At 41.7% G+C, this 24,552-nt stretch overlaps 1 pseudogene, besides 2 other annotated features; it reads right to left on the bottom strand.

The window, feature by feature from the left end:
• Positions 2,391-2,656: a silencer, noted in NCBI's record as "fragment chr8:8774498-8774763 (GRCh37/hg19 assembly coordinates)". NCBI's record gives its function as "represses an EF-1alpha promoter that drives an FKBP-Casp9 reporter gene in an ReSE screen in HepG2 liver carcinoma cells {active_cell/tissue: HepG2}" and the evidence as "EXISTENCE:reporter gene assay evidence [ECO:0000049][PMID:32094911]".
• Positions 5,173-5,782: an enhancer, noted in NCBI's record as "OCT4-NANOG hESC enhancer chr8:8771372-8771981 (GRCh37/hg19 assembly coordinates)". NCBI's record gives its function as "activates a minimal SCP1, AML or CMV promoter by ChIP-STARR-seq in naive H9 embryonic stem cells {active_cell/tissue: H9 hESC(naive)}" and the evidence as "EXISTENCE:reporter gene assay evidence [ECO:0000049][PMID:30033119]".
• RNU6-682P (RNA, U6 small nuclear 682, pseudogene) lies at positions 23,726-23,831 on the bottom strand (annotated as a pseudogene).

Below are 24,552 nucleotides of genomic sequence, written 5' to 3'. Positions count from 1 at the left end.
TCTTGATATTTAGTACCATTTTTCAATAAAAGGAACCAGGGCTTCTTGGAGAAATGGCTGATTCTACTAGCGGAGGAGAAAATATACAAGATGTCTGAAATATCCTGTAGAGCCAGAAATTGAGGAAGTGCTCAAACACACACACACACACACACACACACACACACACACACACACACACACACAAAGGAGTATGTCATAGGTACAGAGAAGTCAACTGAAAGAGCTTGCAGCATGGCCAAAGCTGGAAAAAAAAGCAAGAAAGCAAGAGAAAGACAGAGAGAGACGGGGAGAGGAAAGAAGGAAGGAAGGAAGGAAGGAAAAGAAGGGAATTAGATTATAACTCAAAACATTAAAAAAAAATCCTTGGGTCCACGTTGATATAAATAAATGACTAAATAAGAACTTCCAATAATTTATATAAATCCTCTGTCTTAAAGAGATGGGCTGTAAGTCCCTCCTCCTTAAGTGTGGGCCATGCATAGCAACTTCCTTCCAAAGAGCACAGAACAGAAGTGTTGGGGGGGGAGCGGGGTCACTTTACAGCAGAGAAGCCTGACTAACACAATCTCAGCCAGGTGATCAAGGTAAAAGCAGCAGTGATAATCCATCTTGATAGTATGTACCCTTGGCATGATGTGATGAAAATGGCATTCTGCCTCTGTGGTCTTGCTCCCACCAACACTTAACTCCAGTCTAATGGGAAACACATTAGACAAATGTCAATGAGGGATATGCTACAAAATACCTGTCCAATATTCCTCAAAACTGTCAGGCTCACAAAAAAGAAAGTCTGAGAATCTGTCACAGCCAAGAAGAACCTAAGGAGATGGATGACTAGAATGTCATGTTGTATCTGGGAGGGATTCCAGAACACAAAAAGGACAACAGGTAAAAAATAAGGCAATAAAAATTAAGTATAGATGTCAGTTAATCATAACATACCAATATTCATATAGCATTACATTAATTGTAACAAATGGATCATGCCAATGTAGGAGGTTAATAATAGGGGAACTTGAGTATGGCATATATGGAAACTCTGTACTGTCTTCCCAATTTTTCTGTAAACCTAAAACTGCTCTAACGTATAGCGCTTTTTTTTTTTTTTAGGTGGAGTCTCGCTCTGTTGCCCAGGCTGGAGTGTAGTGGCGTGATCTCAGCTCACTGCAGCCTCCACCTCCTGGGTTCAAGCAATTCTCCTGCCTCAGCCTCCTGAGTAGCTGGAACTACAGGTGCCTGCCACCACACCCAGCTAATTTTTGGATTTTTAGTAGAGTTGGGGTTTCGCCATGTTGGCCAGGCTGGTCTCGGACTCCTGACCTCCTGTGATTTGCCTGCCTCGGCCTCCCAAAATGCTGGGATTATAGGCGTGAGCCATTGTGCCTGGCCATATACTGCTTATTTTTAATAGAATAGTATATGAAAGTACCTGGCACATTGTAAACATTCAACATGTGCATGCTGACTTCACCGACTTGTATTCTTGGCACAATTCCTCAGAGAAGTGGTGTCTTCCTTGTCCTGGGCATTCTGTGTATGGGCTAGAATAATCAGAATTTTCCCAAATCCTGTGAAGTTAGCTCCACTCTTGAACGGGAATATAGAATATGTTTTTAGAAAGAAAACAAACAGATTAAATAAAACAGAGTCTGGAACCAATATAGACTTGAACATCAAAGAGCAGAGAATGACACATAAGCACAAAGGCAAAGTTGAAACTGACTCACTTCACAGAAGATAACAAGAGATGCAGTGAACTGACTGATTAGTCATGCCGCCTGCTCTAATTGTAATTACAAAAGCCAAACTGTTTTTATGGGCAACACCCAATGAGCCAGACGAAACAGGAGGAATTATTAAAGGGAGTGTTTGAACAGGGGTGCTGAATGATGACACCAGCTTCCTTGCTTCTGAGAACGTATAGCAAATGTTGTCCCAACAGCCTGCAGCAAGGAGGGGGAAAGCAACACTTTAAAGGAGCTTAAGTCATCTAGTGACAAGGATCCAACACCACCACCAGTGAAGGAAGGGATTCAGGCAATCAGGGTTCTGGAAGCTCCCAGTGAGATGCAAAGGTTGAACTATGGAGAGGGTCAGGGTTTCTAGTCCTAGATCTCAGAGGTCAAAGTTTTTGTGCTTTTTCTTGCTCATTATGAAAAAAGGATTTCTTTTTCAGTAATTACTTCCTCATTTGTATCTATTTTTCTTTTTCTTTTTGAGACAGAGTCTTGCTTTGTCACCCAAGCGGGAGTGCAGTGGTGCAATCATGGCTCACTGCAGCCTCCACCTCCTGGGCTCAAGTAATCCTCCCACCTCAGCCTCCCAAGTAGCTGCAACTACAGGCATGTGCCACCACACCTGGCTAATTTTTGTATTTTTTGTAGAGATGGGTTGCATCCTGTTGCTCAGGCTGGTCTCGAACTCCTGGGCTCAAGTGATCCACCTGCCTCAGCCTCCCAAAGTGCTGGGATAACAGATATGAGCCACCACCTGTATCTATTTTTCTATGTTATCTTTGTTAACATTCACAATTAAGCAAGCAAGCAAACCAAATACATACCAGGTGTGAGAACTTGCTAGCAAATAAATGCAAACCATGTACCCCTGGGACTCTTCATATAGAGGGATCTGAATTGTTAAATGTAATAACTACTGTGTAACAACAGGGCTGTGTTTTACTTTAAGCTATAGGTATCAGCATGGGTAGAACTTTCAGGCATTCAAATCTGTATCCATTTTCCAGCAAGAGAGAATGATTGATGATGAAGCTTTAAGAGCTCTAAAATAAGAGTAAACATACTTCGTGTGTATTTTATTATTAAGAATTATATTGAGGCAGTTTATATTATACAAATAACCACTTTGGTTCTGCATGGCTCACATGTAATACCACAGTTGTTTTTTTCTTTTCTCAGAGTTTGTTTTGAGACAGGGTCTCACTCTGTCCCTCAGGCTGAAGTGCGGTCATGGCTCACAGCAGCCTCGACCTCCCAGGCTCAAGTGATCCTCCCACTTCAGTTTACAAGTAGCTTGAACTACAGGCATGCACCACCATGCCTGGCTAAATTTTGTGGATACGGCATCTTGCTATGTTGCCCAGGCTGGCCTCAAACTCCTGGGCTGAAGTGATCCTCATGGCCTCAGTCTCCCGAAGTGCTGGGATTACCGGCATGAGCCACTGTGCCCGGCCTAATACCAAAGTTTTGATTACGTTGACATCCTTTTCATCTTAGCCTAATTTAACTTAAATCCTAGATTCTGAAAACTAGATCCTTTTGAGAAATAGCCACAGCATTGAAGAATACAGTAAGATATTACTAACGGCAATACTGAAATTGTTTACAACATCTAGACTTACAGAGAAATCTAGAAACCATTATATTCGGGGTTCTCTGGCTTTGGGTCCTTCTTAGATTCCATTCTCAGGTCTTGCATAGGGACTTCCATGGACTGAGCCTCTTCTTCAAGGGTCTCTATCTTGGTTGCATTTTGGATGCTGCTTTAAAAAATCACAATGCCTAGGCCACTCCTCAGATCAAATAAACACACATCTTAGGCGGTGGAATCCAGGGATCACTATTTGTAAAGTTTCCAGGTGATTCCAAAGTGCAGCCAAAGTTGAGAACCACTGTCCCTATATAATGATTGTTATTATGATTATTTGTTTATATTTTGATACAGAATCTCACTCTGTCACCCAGGCTGGAGTGCAGTGGCATGATCTCGGCTCAGTGCCGACTCCACCTCCTAGGTTCAAGCTATTCTTGTGCCTCAACCTCCCCAGTAGTTGGGATTACAAGCAAGCACCACCACGCCCAGCTAATTTTTGTATTTTTAGTAGAGACAGGGTTTCACCAGGTTGACCAGGCTGGTGTCAAACTCCTGACCTCCAGTGATCGGCCTGCCTAGGCCTCCCAAAGTGCTGGGATTACAGGTGTGAGCCATGGCCCCCAGCTCCCACCGCCCCCCCCTTTTTTTTTCCTTTTGAGACGTCCGCATTTTAAAAGAGAATTCTTAATGAAAAACGAGATTGCATACTGAACTTTGGGGTCATACTTTCTAGTAACATTTGAATAATTAAAAATTAAATTAGACTTTGAGAAACTCTTTCACAGACACTACACAAAGGGTTTCCCCTACATTTGCAATAGATGTGGGGTGGCACAATCCATTTTAAAACAAAATGAGGAATGAACATTAATGAAACTACTAACTGGTAAATTATTTATAGACCATATAGTTCTGCTAAAACAGTAACTTACTTTTTTTTTTTTTTTTTTTTTTTTTGAGACAGAGTCTTGCTTTGTCGGCCAGGCTGGAGGGCAGTGGCATGATCTCGGCTCACTGCAACCTCCGTCTCCTGGGCTCAAGCAATTCTGCCTCAGCCTCCCAAATAGCTGGGATTACAGGTGTGTGCCACCACGTTCAGCTAATTTTTGTATTTTCATTAGAGACGGGGTTTCACGATGTTGGCTAGGCTGGTCTCGAACTCCTGACCTCCGGTAATCTGCCCGCTTCGGCCTCCCAAAGTGCTGGGATTACAGGCATGAGCCACCGCATCCAGCCGCTACTTACTTTTTTAAAAAAATTCACATTTTATTCATTGAAGTTGACTTGCTCTTTTTTCCTTATATAAATAAGTAACAAGATAATTTCATTCAGTGAGATTAGTGAGGTGACTATAGATCTTTGAAATGAATACAATAAAATGTTAATTTTGTGATCCTATTTATTCTGCTTAAGTTTCTACATGATAGGAAGCAAATGCAAATTTTGACCTATGGTCATTCCTTAATATTTCCAGCAGCAGAAAAACAAATCTATTAGAGTGCCTGAATTTTACAAGCAAATTCAACATATTTTATACAGACAAACATACTAATGTCTTGGATGTAGTTATTCATAGTCCTAGATACTTACTGAGCTCTCACTCAGCATTTCTTCATTTTATTTCTCAATTTTCTTGACACATTTTTACCTTCTGAAGGAAGAACTCTGCTTCTGTTAACCCTTTATGCAACTTTTACACACATGTGTTTAGGGTGTGGCACAATCAGATTGGGATTTTTTTTTTTTTTTGAGACAGGGTCTTGCTCTGTCACCCAGCCTGGAGTACAGTGGTGCAATCTTGATTCACCGCAATCTCTGCCTCCCGGGCCAAGTGATCCTCCCGCCTCAGCCTCCCAAGTAGCTGCGATCACAGGTGCATGCCGCCACGCCTGGCTGTTTTTTTTTTTTGTATTATTAGTAGAGATGAGGTTTCACCATGTTGCCCAGGCTGGTCCCAAACTCCTTGCCTGAAGTGACTCACCCACTTCGGCCTCCCAGAGTGCTGGAATTATAGGCATGAGCCACCCTGCCTGGCCTCATTTGGGATTTAGAAAGACATTCTCGTCTTTCTAAAGGATGCCTGGCAGAACAAATAACTGGCGGCAGAGAGATCAGTAGGAGAGCATTAGCTTACTTTGTGAATTACTGTATCCAGATTGAGGAATGAGTTCCTGAATGAGCGCTTACAGCAACTGAATCACCTGCTGTCACAACAAACCAATTCCTCACTTGAAAAGATTTTAAATTGGGGAATTGTGAATGCTTTTAAATGAGCTATAACAAGCACAAAATATAGTTAAACGACTTTGGGGAATCAGTTGCTCAGAACTAAATATCCCAAATTCTATTCATCTGGCTCTGACGTTGACTCATTCATTGATCTTTAGGGATTTAGTTAGTCTATGCTTTAGTTTTCCCATCTATAAAATGCAGCATTAGCATCTGTGTCATGGAGCAAAATCATTAATTATTTACATGCACTGTGAAGATGAAAAGTACAAGTAGTTAAATTCCATGAAAGTTCCCAAGGAAGAGGTTGCTAAAGATGAGTGAAGTTCATTGTTCTAGCTAGAAGTTAGAATCTCTTTAATGTTAGTGCCTTTTTAACACTTTATTCATTGATGCAATAAATATTCATTTGTGACCTACCCTGTGCCAAGGCCAAGGTTAAAAGTCAATGGTGAATAAAACAGTCAAATTTCCTTCCTCATGAGGTTATAGTCTTATAGGGGAAGAAGACAACAAACAAACATATCAGGTAGTGGTAAGTGCATGGAGGGAGGAGATAGGATATGGGTAAAGAAATAGAGAGGTAGACAAAGTAAGAGTAGGGATCCTATTGATCCCCGGTACCAATTTTCCGTGTTAGCCGGTTCTCGCATTGCTATAAAGAAATACTTGAGACTGGGGTAATTTACAAAGAAAAGAGGTTTAGTTGACTCATTCCCCAGGCTGTACAGGAAGCATGATTCTGGCATCTGCTCAGCTTCTGGGGAGATCTCAGGAAACAATCATGGTGGAAGGGGAAGAGGAAGCAGGCACCTACCTCTTACATGGCCATAGCAGGAGCAAGAGAGGGAGATGCTACACAATTTTTAAACAGCCAGATCTCACAAGAACTCACTCACTATCACAAGAAGAGCACCAAGGGGGAAATCCACCCCCATGGTTTAATCACCTCCCACCAAGCCCCACCTTGAACATGTTCAATTACAATTGAACATGAGATTTGGGTGGGGACACAGATGCAAACCATATCGCGGTGGCTAGAGCAGGTGTCTAGGGAAGGTTACAAGAAAAAGCAGGGAGAGGAGGTTCTTGCAAACATCTTAAGAGAGCTTTCTAAACAAAGGGAATCATAAATAGAATGTGTGGGGGCCTATAAGTTACAATACAAAGGCTTGGCAGCTGGGATGGAGTGACTGGGGGGCTTGTGTAAGTCAATATCAACCCGTGTGTCCTAAGAGTGAGAGTAAGATAGGCAGACTTCTTCTCCAAGTAAACAGTGATGGTCTACAGGGCAGCATAGGAATTCCAAAAATAGAGTCCATTGTTTCTTCATCAAATATTTATTAGTGCCCTTTATTTTCTCGACTTTTTTTAAGATAAAACAACAAACTTGGTTCTCAAGAAGTACACAGTTTAGAGAATATATACACAAATTCACTCTTAGTTTGGGCAAGCAAACTAAAGTTTAGATTCCAATAGGTAACACATTTTGGTTAAAAATCATAGATTCTGATTTTATTTATGTAAGGTTAACAGCAATATGTGTTTACAGGTGTGCTCTTTTTTCCCTCTCTTTTTAAATTTAAGTGACTCATGGTTGACACTGTTTCATCTCTACCCTCCTTGTTAGCACTCACCAGATTTTTCTGAAGCAAATGACAGCATTATTTCATCTGTAAAGATTTCACTAAGTAGCTCTAAAAGAGAGTCTTTGAAAGAGATCAAAATTAATAATAATTCTTCTACATCATTGCACATCTACTTAGTATTCAAATTTCCTTCACTATCTCACAATTTATTTATTTCTGTTCTTTTTATTTTCTTGTGAGTCAGAGTCTCACTCTGTTGCCCAGGAGTGCAGTGGCGAGATCTCAACTCACTGGGACTTCTGACTCCTGGTTCAAACATTTCTCGTGCTTCAGCCTCCCTAGTAGATGGGACTACAGGCACGTGCTACAACACCCGGCTAGTTTTTGCATTTTTAATTGAGATGGGGTTTCACCATGATGGCCAGGCTGGTGTCGAACTCCGGACCTCAAGCTGTCTGCCTGCCTTGGCTTCCCAAAGAGTGGGGATTACAGGCATGCACCACCATGCCTAGCCTTTTGTTTGTTTGTTTTACAATTCAGTGGATTTAAAAAATTGTGGTAAAATATACACAACGTAAGATTTACCATTGTTAAGTGTAAAGTTGAGTGACGTTAACTTCATTCATATTGTCATGCAATCATCATCACCATCCATCACCAGAGAGTCTTCATCTTCCCAAACAGAAATTCTGCACCCATTAAACAGTAGCTCTCCATTCCCCAGCCCACTCAACTCCCTCAACAGTGTGACAATCAACATTCTGCTTTCTGGCTCTGAATTTGACTTCTCTAGGTGTCTCATATTAGTGAACTCATACAATATTTGACCTTTTGTGACTGGCTTATTTCACTCAGCATCACATCTTCAAGACCCACCCACATTATAGCATATATCAGAATTTCCCTCCTTTTTATGGCTGAATAATATCCCACTGCATGAATATACTACATTTTGTTTTTATCCAATTGTCTCATTCTTTTTTTTTTTGAGACTGAGTCTCACTCTGCCACCCAGGCTGGAGTTTAGTGGTGCTATCTCGGCTCACTGCAACCTCTGCCTCCCGAGTTAAAATGATTCTCATGCCTCAGCCTCCCCAGTAGCTGTGATTACAAGCTCATGGCACCATGCCTGGCTAATTTTTGTATTTTTAGTAGAGACGGGGTTACACCATGTTGGCCAGGCTGGTCTCGAACTCCTGACCTCAAGTGATCCACCAGCCACAGCCTCCCCAATGTCTTATTCTTTTTAATTGTTTTATTTTCATCTTCATTTGCAAATTGACTGAATTTGGGGGGACAACACTACATAAAAATACATGGTAGCAATATTTTTCAAAAAGCTAAAGAGATGAGCAATGTAATATTAAATGACCAAATTTCACCTTTTGTAAGACTTTTATAGGAGCTCTAACAATCCAAGGTTAACTACTTTAGAATAAAAATGAACTGCGGTCCACAGTTGCAGGGCCGGTCTATTGTTTTGTTCTGTGGATGTGGTGTCTCTGCTGCACACTGACGTCGTTGCAGGTCACCCAGAACACGTGAGATCAGCTCTGCATGCTCAGCGAGGCTGGTCAAAAAACAGGGCTATTATCTAGCACCATGCTTCAGTGGCCCCTAGCAAAAACGCTCCCAGAGTGCTCCTTCCATACAGAATTTCCCGACACATCTCTAGCTAGTGTCCAAAGCCGCAAGATGCTAAACGTCTGTATCATCATTTAGTTGCTTTTAATGTGGTCTCTTGAAAGAATAGGTAAATGTCAGAGAGACCGATGTGAATAGATATGTTACATTATTAATGTCAAGCAGGGAATGAAAATCTGGAGATTCTGAATTCATTATCGCTACATTATTTACATATTGATGGGGTTAGGGATCTTGGAGTTACAGTTCTATAACATTCCCCCATATCCTTCCAATCTATTCTTTTCTTGAGACAGGGTCTTCCTCTGTAGCCCAGCCTACTCTGTAAAAATACAATGCTGAGGCCAGGCGTGGTGGCTCATGCCTGTAATCCCAGCACTTTGGGAGGCTGAGGTGGGCAGATCATGAGGTCAGGAGTTCGAGACCAGCCTGGCCAACATAGTGAAACCCCGTCTCTACTAAAAATACAAAAAAATTAGCCAAGAATGGTAGCACATGCCTGTAGTCCCAGCTACTAGGGAGGCTGAAGCAGGAGAATCACTTGAACCCAGGAGGCAGAAGTTGCAGTGAGCCAAGATCACACCACTGCGCTCCAACCTGCATGACAGAGCGAGACTGTGTCTCAAAAAATAAAAAAAAAAATACTATGCTGGCCAAGTGTGGTGGCTCACAATTGTAATTCCAATATTTTGGTAGGCTGAGGCAGGTGGATTGTTCGACACCAGCCTGGACAACATGGTAAAACCCCATCTCTACAAAAAATACAAAATTTAGCCAGGCATGGTGGCGTGCACATGTAGTCCCAGCTACTCACGAGGCTGAGGTAGGAGAATCATGTGAGCCTGGGGAGATAAAGGCTGCAGTGAGCTGTGATGGAGCCACTGCACTCCAGCCTGGGCAACAGAGTGAGAATCTGTCTCAAAAAAGAAAAAAAAATACTATGCCAAGGTTGGCATCGGGATCATATACTGAAAACACTGTGTATAACTATCCTTAAGACACATTACATTTAAAATATTTTAATTGGATGAACAAAACTAGTAAATTGTGTCTAATTTCCCACAGTTGCAAAATGTCCTTCACTGACATGAAATATAACAGATTTTTAACTATTTTAATATATTTTCTGTATTTTGTAGCTCCTGTGCACCCATACATATTCAAACCCCTTTTGTAGAAAAATTCCTTATAGACGAGAGAGGAAACATATTTTTTACTTCACACTGGAGTCTGGCCTTACCTGTTTGAAGTCTGAGTAAACCTAAACGTGGTATAAAATAAAGCTTTCTTTTTACTCATTTATTTATATTATTAAAAATTTTTTTCTATCCAAAAAGCTGAGATACAATAAAATAAAGTTTTCTAATCAAGTAAAAGTTCTATCCAAAATATGCATCAATGGAGAATCCTGGAATGTTGATCTCGAATGAAATTTAAAGGTTGTATAATTCTGTGGGTCAGTCTCTCTTGGGTTCATGAATTGAGAATCTGATGTAAGCTATGAATCTTTTTCCTAGAAAAATGCATATTATTTTGCTGATAATTTTACCTGTTCATGGACCTTCTGATGCCCATCATCAGACTCCAAATTAAGAATGTGATGTACATCTGTAATCCCAGCACTTTGGGAGACCAAGGCAGGTGGATCACTTGAGGTCAGGAGTTTGAGACCAGCCTGGCCAATATGGTGAAACATCGTCTCTACTAAAAATACAAAAATTAGTTGTGCATGGTGGCAGGTGCCTGTAGTCCCAGCTACTCAGGAGGCTGAGGCAGGAGAATTGCTTGAACCCGGAAGGCGGAGGTTGCAGTGAGCCGAGATTGCACCACTGCACTCCAGCCTGGATGATAGAGCAAGACTCCGTCTACAAAAAAAAAGAGAACCTGATATAATTCAACTCCTTCCTTTTATAGTTGATGGAATTGACAGTCATGGTGGCTATGCAACTTGCCCATGGTCACAGAGTGAGGGAGGGTAGAGATTTCACTATAATTACAATGGGGCTTTGTCTATCACTTGATTACAAAACTCCACCTAACAGATTATCCATGTGACAGGTACCATTGCACCCGATGTACCTCCTTACCCAGTCTTTGATAATACCTCAAATTCTCACATGTGGGGTCTTCTGGTAGCATATTTGTATCAACTTGGACAAGGCATCAAGCACCATCTTCCATGCACATGCCAGGTGAAGGCAAACTAGAGTATAATATGGGTCATTAGCCCAGACTCCTGTCTCTCAGGCTCAATCCCCTTTGGTGCTCTTGGTCTCTTTACCTGCTGTTAAGCTTGACACCTACACATGTTCGCCTATTGTCCAATGATCAGCTCTACACAAAGGGATGAGGGGTAGAGAAATAGGGTGTTTATAAAGGGAGGGGTGGGGCAGAAGAGTCTGTTTAAAAGGATTAAAGTTAAGCAAAAACAGCATATTCAGAACTTCATCTGCTTCAATTTTTTTTTTTTTTTTTCAGCTAGAAGTGAGAGTGCTGGAAATGTTTTGTACTGAAATACTAAGCAACCAGATTCCTGACATTGTTGAAATGTATTTAAAAATCCCCAATTTTATGAGTCTCATGCAATTAACTTGGAGAAACTGCACATGTTGAATAAGGATTGTGTTATGGCCAAGAAGGAAGCACAGAGTGTGATATTCCAGGAAAGAGGGGGATTTCCTTGTGAACATATTTGCTCTGAATCATAAATTGAGATATAGAAATATCACATTAAATATTACAAGTATTTTTGTGATTGAACAAAGTGTATGTATATTTTTGCGTGAATTTCTTTTGATATATAATTTATTCTGATAAAGATCATACCTATTATAGGAAATTTGAAAAATAAAAAAGAAAGAAAAGAAAATTGCTGTAATTCCAGTAAGCAGAACTAACAACTACTCATAATCTGATGCATATATTTTCAGGCTTTTTTCTATGAATACATATTTACACACACATTATATATATAATTACAAATAGATCTATTTTATTTATCAAAGTAAGGTCATGTTTATATGAAGGACTGTAGTTTGATCTTGTCAACAAATACTACAGCATAAGTATTTTTAAAAGTTATTAAATTTTCTTGGAAAACAGTTTTTAATAGCTACATGGATTCCATCATATATCCATGCCAACATTTATTTAATCATTTGGAAATCCAGAGTGTTTTCAGTATTCCCCTCTACATATCCTTGTATGTCGATCTTTGGGTGCATCTCTATTTCTTTAGAATTTTTTAAAAAATTTTTTTCGTAATTTTTATTTTAGTAGAGATGGGGTTTCACCACGTTGGCCAGGCTGGTCTCAAGTACTCCTGTCCTCAAGTAATCCACCCGCTTCGGCCTCCCAAAGTGCTTGGATTACAGGTGTGAGCCACTGTACCAAGCCTTTTTAGAAAACTTTTTATTTTTCTCAGCTTTTTGGCTAGCAGAAATTTCTAAAAGTAAAATAATTCCCAAGAGTAGAACATTTTCTTAGGTTTTTGCTGTATATTATTAAATGTTTATGTACCGTTCTACCAATTTGCACCTCTAGCTGCAGTATTTGTTAGTGTTACTTTTGCCTATTCTCTGGTTAATATTGGATGTTTAAAAATTGATTCCAATTTGAGAGGCTAAATATGGTATCCTATTTTAATTTGCATTAGTTTGATTACTCTTCAAAGTTAAACTATTTTAAAAATATGTTTACTAGCTATTTGCATTTGTCCTAATGCAAACTGTTTTGCCTGTTTTTGTATTATGGTACTCATCTTTCGCAAATTGATTGGTAGGAACTCCTTATATATTTTTACCATAAACCCTATGTCGTATGTATTGAAAACACTTTATCATTGTCTTTAACTTATGATGACACTTTTTTTCTCTAATAAATCATGAAATGTCACCTGTGCCCCCATGTTGCAAAGCTGTTGTAAAACTGATTTGCTTTACAAGGGGGCAGGTCTCAGCGTGTTTATCTGATGGGATGAATGGAATGAAACAGACATGTGCAGGGTTTTGGGAATCAAAGCAGAAGTTTTGAAGCTGAAGTCCTTAGGTCCTCTGGTTTCTATCAGATATTCTCATTCTAATTATAAACATACATTTTCCCAATCAACACCCCAATTTTAGTTTCAAAAATGGTTACAATAAAGGATCTGGTTGCTACTAAGCATGATACATAATTAGCATGGTTTGTGTCCTTACAGATGTGTTTCTTTTGGGACAGGGTCTCGCTCTGTCACCCAGGTTGGAGTGTAGGGGTGCAATCTCGGTTCACTGCAACCTCTGCCTCCCAGGCTCAAGCAATTCTCATTCTCAGCCTCCCGAGTAGCTGGGACTACAGGTGCCTGCCACCACACCCGGCTAACTTTTGTATTTTTTGTGCAGAAGGGATTTCGCCATGTTGCCCAGTATGGGCTTGAACTCTTGAACTCAGGTGATCCACACGCCTTGGCCTCTCAAAGTGCTGGGATTACAGGCATGAGCCACCATGAATGGCCCTTATAGATGCTTTTTAGATTAACTTTCAGCAAGATTAGACGGCTGGCTGTGATCAGAAAGGCTTCTGGTACATAACTGTATTCTTACTCTATTTTCCATTGTCTTCTTTCAGCAAGGCAAGCTTGGCCTGAAGTCTCTCTCTTTCTTGCTCTTACTGTACTTCCTTGAAAGTCTACAAGAACTGCACACATGAAACCATACTGTTTCTTGGTTAGAGGACTATCCACTTCTCACCCCATCTGCTTTGATATAACAATTTCCTTTAATGGACTGTAACTTGTAAACTCACTTCCAGATAAAAATTTCTATGTTAAGATTCTTTGGGTTTTAAAGAAGAGAAACCAATTCAAAGGCACTCTAGCAAAAGCAGGAGATTTATTGTAAGTCTCGAAGGCAGGGAGAGGAGCTAGGATTCAAGAATACCAGTCAAGAAAGCAAAATGTTGGAAACTCAAGAAACGTGGCCTCTCATATTTGCCATCTTCTTTCTCGGTGGACTGGCTTTTCTCTGCTCCTAAGTCCCCTTAATAGTCTGGAGTTGCCTTCTTATGGTTCCAAATTTACCATCTGGACCCAGAGAAAGACTGGCTTTCCTTCTCTCAACCCCAAGTCCAAATTTCTTGCTGTATTTTTTTTTTTTTTTTTTTTGAGACGGAGTCTCGCTCAGTCGTCCAGGCTGGAGTTTGATGGCGCAATCTAGGCTTACTGCAACCTCTGCCTCCTAAGTTCAAGTGATTGTCAAGTAGAGACGGGGTTTCACCGTGTTGCGCAGGCTGGTCTCAAACTCCCGCACTCAGGCAACCCACTCGCCTCGGCCTCCCAAAGTGCTGGGATTATAGGCGTGACCAAGTCCAAATTTCTAAGAAAGAGACTTTGGCCCCGTTTCAGTTAAGCACCTACCTCAGGTCTAATTATTCGAAGGCAAGGATGTGGGGTCACATGGACAAATGGCTCCTGACAGCCCACTACTGGGGGAGACAGGGAGCAGTTGAAGAGCCATTGTGAATTTACACAGATACGAAAAAGCTGTGCATCACAGCAACTGTATTTTTAAAAGCATGTCCTAGAATCTTTTGTCAGATTTAATGTTACGCATGAGGATATTTAAAAATAAACTATCCATTTTAAGAACATCATCCGTAAGAAAGTGAACACTAAAATTTAAGAGGAAACCTGAGTTTGGTTCCAGTTAAATCCAGTTGCTCTGCAGAGACACAGCCTGTAACACAGTCATGATAAGCAGCAGAGACATATGATTATGTCCTAAGCTGCTAGGATAAGGCTTCTATAATTTTTCCAAACAATTTTGGAGGATATTTTCATTTAATTGGTACAACATGTTAAACTTGCTAATAAGAACTTACTAAAATAAGCCCAACTAAGAAAAATAATAATAAATTCAGCGTTCCATACTAGAACAAAACCAAACCTGTAATACATAAACTTAATATTCCAAGTATTGTTTTGAAAATATAAATTAAATGTTAACATCATTGTATTCAAGATCCACCAAGGCAATGGAACAATATTCTCTTACAGAGAAAGGGAACGGCTTCCTCAAATTGTTCTTAAATACCAGAACAGCTGCTGTAATTAGGGGACAAAGGAACCAGACAGAGGGGTCTGTTAGCTACTTCCATCAAATCAGAGAATTTTGAAACAGAGTGTATCTTGTTAACTTTATCAGAGGACCACAGCTTTGGAAGAGCACCTTAATCAATAGTGGCTAAATGCTTTATGTGTACGCTTTGAGGGAGAGAACAAAGATAGAAGTCTTCTTAAGTTGTCTCGAGTCCAGGCAGCTTAGCCAGGGCCTTACATAAATATTTGTGGGGTTAGTAATGAACTTATGACCAACGGCGATGCTTACATTATTATACACCATAGTCCCTTATGGCATTATTTCAAGGACTCTTATTTCATAGGATGACATCGAGAGTAGACTAGGTTTTCTTGTTTTGTTTTACAGAAAAGTAAACAGAAGTTGTTTTTGCTATGAGTCATTAGTATCAGAAATAAATGATAACTTTGGTTTTCCTGGGTTTATTAAATACATGGCTTCATCATGTTGATGAAAAAAGTCAAACTCTAAAATATTTGAAGAAATATTTTAATCGGATCCCAATATGAGTGACCATGGCCGGTGACACAGCCCTCAGGAAGTCCTGAGAACACGTGCCCTAGGTGTGGGGCACAGCTTGGTTTATACATTTTTGGGAGACATAAAATATCAATCAAATTCTTTTCTGTTTGTTTTTTGAGACAGAGTCTCACTCTGTTGCCCAGGCTGGAGTGCAGTGGCATGATCTCGGCTCACTGCAACCTCTGCCTCCTGGGTTCAAGCGATTCTCCTACCTCAGCCTCCAGAGTAGCTCGGATTACAGGCACGCGCTACCAGGCCTGGGTACTTTTTGTAGTTTTAATAGAGACGAGGTTTCATCATGTTTGCCAGGCTGGCCTCAAATTCCTAACCTCAAGTGATCAGCCCACCTCAGCCTCCCAAAGTGCTGGCATCACAGGCATAAGCCACCTCACCCGGCCAATCACATACATTTAAGATGTACATTGGTTTGTGTCAGAAAGGTGGGACAACTCAAAGCGGGGGTGGGGCTTCCAGGCTATAGGAAGATTTAAAATTTTTCTGGTTGACAATTTGTTGAGTATATCTAAAGACCTGGGATCAATAGAAAGGAAATGTCTGGGTTAAGATAAAGGATTTTAGTGACCAAAGTTTTTACTACGCAAGAGGAAGTCTTCAGGTAGCAGGCTTCACAGAGAATAGGTTGTAAATGTTTCTTACCGGACTTAAAAGGGTGCTAGGCTCTTTCTTAGTTGATTCGCTCCTGGATCCAGAAAAAGGCCTGGAAAAAGGGAAAAGGGGATTATTTATAGAATGCAGATTTTTCCCCACAAGAGACGACTGTGCAGGACACTTTCAAGGTATGGCAAGGAAACATATTTGGGGTTAAAATATTTTGATTTACTTCCTTGTTATGTGATGTTAGGACAGAGTCAGGTTGGAAGGCAGGCCACATTATATAGGGTTAAATATAACCTCTCTGATGAGATTTTATGGTTTGTAGGCCGTGACTCCCCAGGCCCCTAGGGTAGGAATTTGGGCAAGAGAAGAAAAAAAGTCAAAGTTTAGTCTGTCTTCAATAATAATATTAATATTAATAACAATAGTTACACTAATTTGGTAGGACTTAACATTTTTTTTTCCCTAGTTTTTTTTGAGACAGAGTCTGTCCGTTTCTTAGGCTGGAGTGCAGTGGCATGATCTTGGCTCACTGTAACCGCCACCTCCCAGGTTCAAGCAATTGTTGAGCCTCAGCCTCCTGAGTAGCTGGGATTACAGGCTTTTGCCATCATGCCTGGCTAATTTTTGTATTTTTTGTAGAGACGAGATTTCACCATGTTTGCCAGGCTGGTCTCGAACTCCTGACCTCAAGTGATTTGACCACCTTGGCCTCCCATAGTGGTTGGATTACAGGCATGAGCCACCATGCTGGGCTGGACTTTACATTTTCAATGCTACGCTTTATAGTATGTGTTAGGTCATTGTAGAGTTTTCTGAAATTTTGGAACTACGATGTTCAAAAAGGAGGGCCCAATATCCCTGGGTCGTTTATTTAAAAGGTAGGTACTAGTACATTTATTTTTAAATATGAAAAATATTTCAAAGCCTTGTGGACGGAAGCAAGGTCTTAAACCATTTATCTCACTGTGACTGCATCTCATTATAGTTCAGACTGGTAACTGAAACTCCATTCCCAGGGCTACACAGCTTATGCTGTGCACACACACCCTTGGAAGAAGGCATGGAAGACAAAAGCACCTAAACTTCACTCACCATGCCTAGGAGCATGGTTGGGTCTGTGGAGAGTGATGCATTGCTCTCCCTTTCACTGAGGCACCATACAGGCCCTGATATGGTTTGACTGTGTCCCCACCCAAATCTCATCTTGAATTTCCACACGCTATGGGAGGGACCTGGTGGGAGGTAATTGAATCATGGGGGCAGGTCTTTCCCATACTGTTCTTGTGACAGTGAAGAAGTCTCATGATATCTGATGGTTTTATAAGGGGAGTTCTCCTGCACAAGCTCTCTCTTTTTGCCTGCTGCCATCCATGTAAGACGTGACTTACTCCTCCTTGCCTTCTGCCATGATCGTGAAGGCCTCCCCAGCCACGTGGAACTGTGAGTTCATTAAACCTATTTTTCTTCCCAGTCTCAGGTATGTCTTCACCAGCAGTGTGAAAACGGACTAATACAGGCCCCTTTTGAAAAGCCCCACAATAGAGTGTCTCCCTGTCCAATGCTTGCCGTTAGCAATAGACACGAAGCGGGGGATGATAGGGACATCCTCTCTGCAACCCATTCTCCCTCTCCCCTCCTCCTGGACATGCTTCATTTCAAAATGCCAAGTATGCTACAGTTAGCCTCATGTGTCATGACTATTTCACAGATATTTTCCGTTGGTCTTTCACTGGACTAATTTTCCTTGTTTTTCTCAGAAAGAGGATGTTTTCTCCAGGATTCGGTGGGCAGTTGGGGGTTGGGAGGGGACACTGCTACTCTGGGACCCCCAGGAAAAGTTCTGGAATTCTAGGTGACGTCGAGGCAAATCCTTTGGCTTGCAGGGAAATGGCCTGGGTCCTGTGGAATATCTTCAGCTGAAAGTACTTTCAACGGATGCTAAAAATACATTACAGTTTATTTTCCCCAGTAGGGAGCGTGTGTGTTCCCACTTGACCTGGAAACACAAAGAGATCCAATGTTAAATGTAATGTTGCTCATTCCAAGATAAATGAGTTTTCTGGAGAGCAAGGGAAAGAAAAAACAACAGTCGTCTGGGTATAGTTTTGCCTTTGCTCTCTGGAGGAGTCAGTGTCTTGAACACATACTTTATGCTCCACGCTTGTAGTTAAGTGGCAATTCTCAGGCTTCTTAGCCATTGCTGATCAGAACTGGCTTGCTTTCAAATCACATGAGTCCAAGGCAGATTTATTAAATTTAGGAAAGAGGGGTGAGGTATGTTTTATATATTTTTTAAATAAAATTTTAAAAAATCCAAACAAAAGGGGTCAGATTCTTTGTATCTAATCTGAGCTTAATAAATTCATCTTCCATCTTTTTTCAAAAAATGCAGTCAAAATATGAAGTCTGAAACACCCTCTAATTGGAGTGTAGATTTACGGTCATTGTTATTAAACCCTTTCTGTGTAAAACTAGCAAATTGAACAAACACAGCTGATCTACAATTAGCATAGACATTCTGTTGGTTTCCTGCAGTGACATTTATGAATAGTTGTTCAGCCCAGTTCTTGTAGTTGGGGACACTGTGTTTAGAGCTTTGGATTGCCCAATATAATATTCTTCAATTTTGTAAGAGCTCAGTTCAATTTCTACTGAAGACTGGGTGGCAGCCCTGTCTCCAGCTGGTACCTCTTTCCCTCTTTTCTACAGCTTAAAATACACAGTCTGTTCCAGGTCAGTTAAGAACCAATCTCCTCCACCCTCCTGACCCCTGAAGAATTAGCACCGTGATTAAATACATGAATTTTACAGTCTGCTTTGTTTTGAGTGAATTTTGCCACTCAGTAGCTCTGCTTTCATTTTTCTCCATCTGTAAATGAGGCTAATGGAACCTACTATTCAGGGCTGTTGTGAAGATTAAATGAAATATTGCATGAAAAGCACACAACACAGTGCCTGGGTGCATGGAAAACTTTTAAGAGATGTTAGCTATCATGACTCGTGATTATTCTGAGATTTCCCATTGAGTGATGCCCAGTGGCAGGAGAGAATGCCATGATCACCAAGACCTCGTTTGACAAAACTGTTTGATGTCCATTTTTAAGACTTTATTTCTAATCCCCTGCTTTGGACCAAGCCTAACACCTTTCGAAGGGCTATCTCTTCCTGGCCGGGTGCAGTGGCTCACACCTGTAATCCCCAGCACGTTGGGAGGCTGAGGCAGGTGGATCACTTGAGGTCAGGAGTTCGAGACCAGCCTGGCCAACATGGTGAAACCCTGTCTCTACTAAAAAATACAAAAATTAGCCGGGCTTGATGGTGTGTGCTTGTAGTCCCAGCTACTAGGGAGGGTGAGGCAGGAGAATCTCTTCAACTGGGGAGGCAGATATTGCAATGAGCCTAGATCACGGCACTGCACTCCAGCCTGGGCAACAGAGCAAGACTCTGTCTCAAATAAATACATACATAAATAAATAAATATTTCTTCCTTTTCCTCTGTCTGTTTTTCTCTTGACTTTTTCCACTTCTATCTCCTCCAAAGACAAGCCAAGAAGGGTGTGGCCTAATTAAAATCTCAAAGGTGAGATTTTCTCTTAGTTGCCTTTAGCCACATAGGAGGAAGCATTGTTGTTGCTGTCATTTATTTAAAGCAAAACACGACCTAAAATTACAAGAAAGGAGAAATGTGGGAAACCCTTTGCCCCTTTTCATGATACAGGCAGCATATCTTCAGCTTCTCCAGACTTCAAGGAGAAAACTCAGTTCATTTTCTCATGAGATGTTTAACCCAGCCCTGGGTCTCATTTGTGTGGAAGGGTTAAGTGATTGCCAAATTTTCTTTCAAGACTAGACAGGTAATTTTCATACTCCAAAGTCAGCTGGAACCTCCAGCCCATGAATATCCTGTCTTCTAAGGTAGTGAACAACTAGGTAAATGAAATCAGAACAAAGTCTAAATCAGAACTAAAGCAGCTGAAAATGTGCTACATTTCCTGGAAGCTGTGCTTTCTGAACTCCTGAAGGGTAAAGGGAGAGTAAGTTAAAGGGTTTGTTTTAAAGACCAAGTCAGTTAACAAATTGTACTAGTTTCCTAAGATTACCCTAGTTTTAAGAACAGAATGTCTCCTATCCTGAGAGACCCCTCAGTCTTGTGCACATTGGAGCATTTTGTCACCTTAAAATCAAGACTTGATTAAGTTGTGATAGATTAAATTAAAATTCAATGGAAAAGGGTGCTCATATGATTTTCAAAATGCATCTTTAATAGAAATAGAATAATATAAATTTAAGTGGAAAAACCATACTGACTAAATATCCTCCTAAGAAGCTATCATTATCTAGGCAAATCCTGGCCACTCTGCCCACGTAGTTATAGTGCTTCGTTTGGTAGCACTTATTCTAATTGCAAACTTGATCCCTATAAGGAAATAATTAGCCTTTATAGGGACTCCTTTTGAAAACCCAAACCTTAAAGTGACACCAAATATCCTATAGGCCAAGAAAGGAAAAAGTTTCCAAAGGAAGTTGTTTAACATTTTCAGCGATGGGAGGTCAAGGAGGAGAAAGGGTGAGTTGACCCTTAAGAGGGAAAGGCTCATCAGCATGGTGGGGATGGAAACCAGATTCCTGGACTGGCCCAAGGAGGGAGCCAGGGGAGAGGAGTCAGACTAGCGTGGACCAATTATGGAAGATATTTGACAGAGAAAGGAAGTAAAGTAGTCAGACAGTAGCTAGGGCATTAGCAAGGTTGAGAGAAATCTGTCAAGATGGAAGAAGGTTGATTGAATATGCTGAAGACACAGCAAAAGAAACTAGGATGAAAGCTTACTTGGGGCTTGTTGATAGTTTTAGCAAAGGATAGGAACAAACTACTCTTGCCCACCTCTATTCAGACTTTTTTTTTTTTGAGACAGCGTCTCGCTCTGTCGTCCAGGCTGGAGTGCAGTGGCACGATCTCGGCTCACTGTGACCTCTGCCTCCTGGGTTCAAGTGATCCTCCTGCCTCAGCCTCCTGAGTAGCTAGGATTACAGGAGTGCATCACCACGTCTGGCTAATTTTTTTTTTTTTGTATTTTTAGTAGAGAGGGGGTGTCACCGTGTTGGCCAGGCTGGTCTTGAACTCCTGACCTCAAGTGATCCGCCCACCTCTACCTCCCAAAGTGTTGGGATTACAGTCGTGAGCCATCACACATTGCCAATCCAGACTGTTCTTGACAAAAGACGCTTATCTGGAGCATCTAGGATTCTCCCTTCTAAACAGCCATGTTTCAAGGCCTCACTCAAGACACAACCTCTTTCCATGTACTCTCCACTCTCCTGAATGACTCTGCTCTTGCAGACAGGGTCTAGACTCTGGAACAAAGCCAATGTGTATGGAATGCTCTTGCCATCATAAGGCAGCAGCGAAAGAGAAAACAATCTAAGAGTCAGAAAACAGGATATATTAAAAGGCTTAAGCTGAAAAGGTTTTGGAAAGTTTATAGATTAGATTCATGACATTGGATAGACCTCTAAGGAAAGAAAACTTTATATAATAGAGTTCCTCTTCTCCAAACAATGTTGTTGTTGTTTTTGCTTTTAGAAAAACCCTACCATTTGCAGGGCCACGCTTATCCTTTGCAGGGCCTGGGGAAAGGGTACACGGGAAGGCCCACATGCCACATGCCTAAATATCTAAATGTGTTACATCACCCTAACAGATGTGGCACATTCACACTCCTTGCCCTAGCCTGGGCTACATCCAGCACAGAGAGGAGCTTCGTCGGCACACAGCTGAGGTCCAGCTCCTGCACAACCCCCAGGTCTAGGGATGCCCACCTCAATAACTTCTTTCGAATGACTATGAAAGACTGCCCCACGCTCCCCATCCAGGCTTGAGGCTATTTGCATTGGGAATTCAGGGTCCTCCATACCATGTGTGTTCTAGAAGGTGGAGGGGGCGTGCCCCCTTGGCCCATCAGAAACTTAACCACACGGGGTACAGCATGGTGAGAGGAGGGCCAGGTTAGGTGCCCACGGCAGGAGTCCTTGCCTGGGTTGATACTTGAGAGGATCACTTGAGCACAGGAGTTCGAGATCAGCCCGGGCAACATAAGCAGACCCTGTCTCAATGAAAAAACAGAAAAGATGATACTTTCATGAATCCTCTTTCTTTCTTTCTTTTTTCTTTCTGAGATGGAATCTTGCTCTGTTGCCCAGGCTGGAGTGCAGTGGCATGATCTCGGCTCACTGTGACCTCTGCCTCCCGGGTCCACGCGATTCTCCTGCCTCAGCCTCCTGAGTAGCTGAGACTACAGGCACCCACCACCATGCCCAGCTAATTTTTGTATTTTTAGTAGAGATGAGGTTTCACCACGTTGGCCAGGCTGGTCTCGAACTCCTGACCTTGTGATCTGCCCGCCTCGGCCTCCCAAACTGCTGGGATTACAGGTGTGAGCCACTGCACCCAGCCCAGGAATCATTTCTATAGTTCTTTACGAAGCAGTTTCTTTGAAAGTGGAAAGCACAAAGAAAAAAAAATTTTAAAGCTATATGGAACACAATATCTTTTCATAGAGTTTTCTTTTATCATTGAGTTATCTTTTATCATTTGACTTTCTAGTTTTTAGCATACTGACTTTCTTTTGTTGTGTTGTGTTGTATTTTGAGACAGAGTCTCACTCTGTTTCCCAGGCTGGAGTACAGTGGTGCAGTCTTGGCTCACTGCCGCCTCCACTTCCCAGCCTCAAGTGATCTTCCCGCGTCACTCCTGAGTAGCTGGGACTACAGGTGTGCGCCACCACACCCTACTAATTTTTGTATTTTTTGTAGAGATGATGTCTTGCCTTGTTGCACAGGCTGGTCTCGAACTCCTGAGCTCAAATGATCTGCTCGCCTCAGCCTCTGGAAGTGCTGGGATTACAGGCATATACCCCTGTGCCCATTCACATACTGACTTTCAAAGAACTCATAGACAAGGATTCTTACAAGGCTTCCTACTATATTGACTGCATCAGCTGAGGGGCTCACAAAGAATTGCCACCCCCAGCACACTTATTCACTCCAGGCTTTGGGGCTTTAGTGGGGCTTGAAGCCCCTAGCGCAGGGTCCTAGCCAGTACTTTTTATTAGATAAAGCAAATTATAGATGATCTCCTGACAAATGAAGAGTGCAGTTTTCCAAGGACATTTAAAATAGAAGTATAAGCTGGTCAGGGTGGCTTATGCCTATAATCCCAGCTACTCAGGAGGCTCAGGCAAAAAGACTGCTTGAGCCCAGGAGTTCGAGTCCAGCATGGGCAACAAAGCAAGACCCCCATCTCCAGAAAAAAAAAAAAAAAAGAAAGAAAGAAAAGAAAGGAAAATATAATTTTCTTCAGAGAAAAAGTCTCACTCTGTCACCCAGGCTGGAGTGCAGTGGTGTGATCTTGGCTGACTGCAACCTCCGCCTTCTGGTTTCGAGCAACTCTCGTGCCTCAGCCTCCTGAGTAGCTGGGGACTAAAGGTGCGCACCACTATGCCTGGCTAATTTTTGTATTTTTAGTAGAGATGGGGTTTTGACATGTTGGCCAGGCTGGTCTTGAGCTCCTAACCTCAACTGATCCACCACCTCGGCCTCCCAAAGTGCTGAGATTACAGGCATGAGATGCCATGTCCGGCCATTTTTCTTTTTTAAAATAATTTTTTAAATGAAAATATTATTAAATAAATGAACACCATGAATTTGCATGTCATCTTTGTGCAGGGCCATGCTAATCCTCTCTGTATTTTTCCAATTTTAGTATATGTGCTGCTGAAGCAAGCACAATTTTCATTTTTTTCAATTGATTTCAGCTTCTGCAGGAGGAAGTATAATTTTCTGATGGCTTCTAAAGAGGAACAGTTAGCAGTTATTGAGATATAATCATGTAAGGTGGTGTAGGATGGTGATGCCTACTCCAGTCTCCTTACCCAGGCTGAGTTCATATTTTTGTTAGAAGAAGCTGCAGGATGGAGAATTTGGGGTCTGGCTCAAGAACAGTGTGAGTACAGGTGATGATCACAGGGGAATACATTCCACACGGGGAGTTAGCAGTCCTGCCTCTACTCTACTTTGATGGCTGATTGAGAAGTCACTTACTTTGAGCCCATTTCCTCCTCTGTGGGGGAAAAAAAGGGTCAGCCTAGATAACTCAGAATATTTGTTGTAAAATTGACTGTCTCTGGGAGGGAGTGTGGGTGGGGCTACCCTGAGCCATCTGAACTCTCGGAAGTCCTTCAGAGTGAACACAGATCAGCTCTTGCTGTTCACTTACTCACATTTCATCTGTGGTGTCAGAGCCTCAGGGACCCAGCAGAACTGGGGAACATCCTCCAGTTACAGCATGTACTACCTGCAGCCTGATAACCATCACTGGGGTGGATTTCCAGCCTCAGATGTTCAGGTGCTCTTTTTGGAAACACACACTTCTCACGTTACTGCACCAAATATGGGTCCCCAAATGACAGCCATAGCGCATGTCGGGGAGAGCTGCAGTGGGTCAAGTG

Source organism: Homo sapiens, chromosome 8 (assembly GCF_000001405.40).
Source record: "Homo sapiens chromosome 8, GRCh38.p14 Primary Assembly".
Classification (NCBI taxonomy): Eukaryota; Metazoa; Chordata; class Mammalia; order Primates; family Hominidae; genus Homo; species Homo sapiens.
The sequence above is the reverse complement of the archived record's forward strand: the minus strand, read 5'-3'. Positions and strand labels throughout refer to the sequence as shown.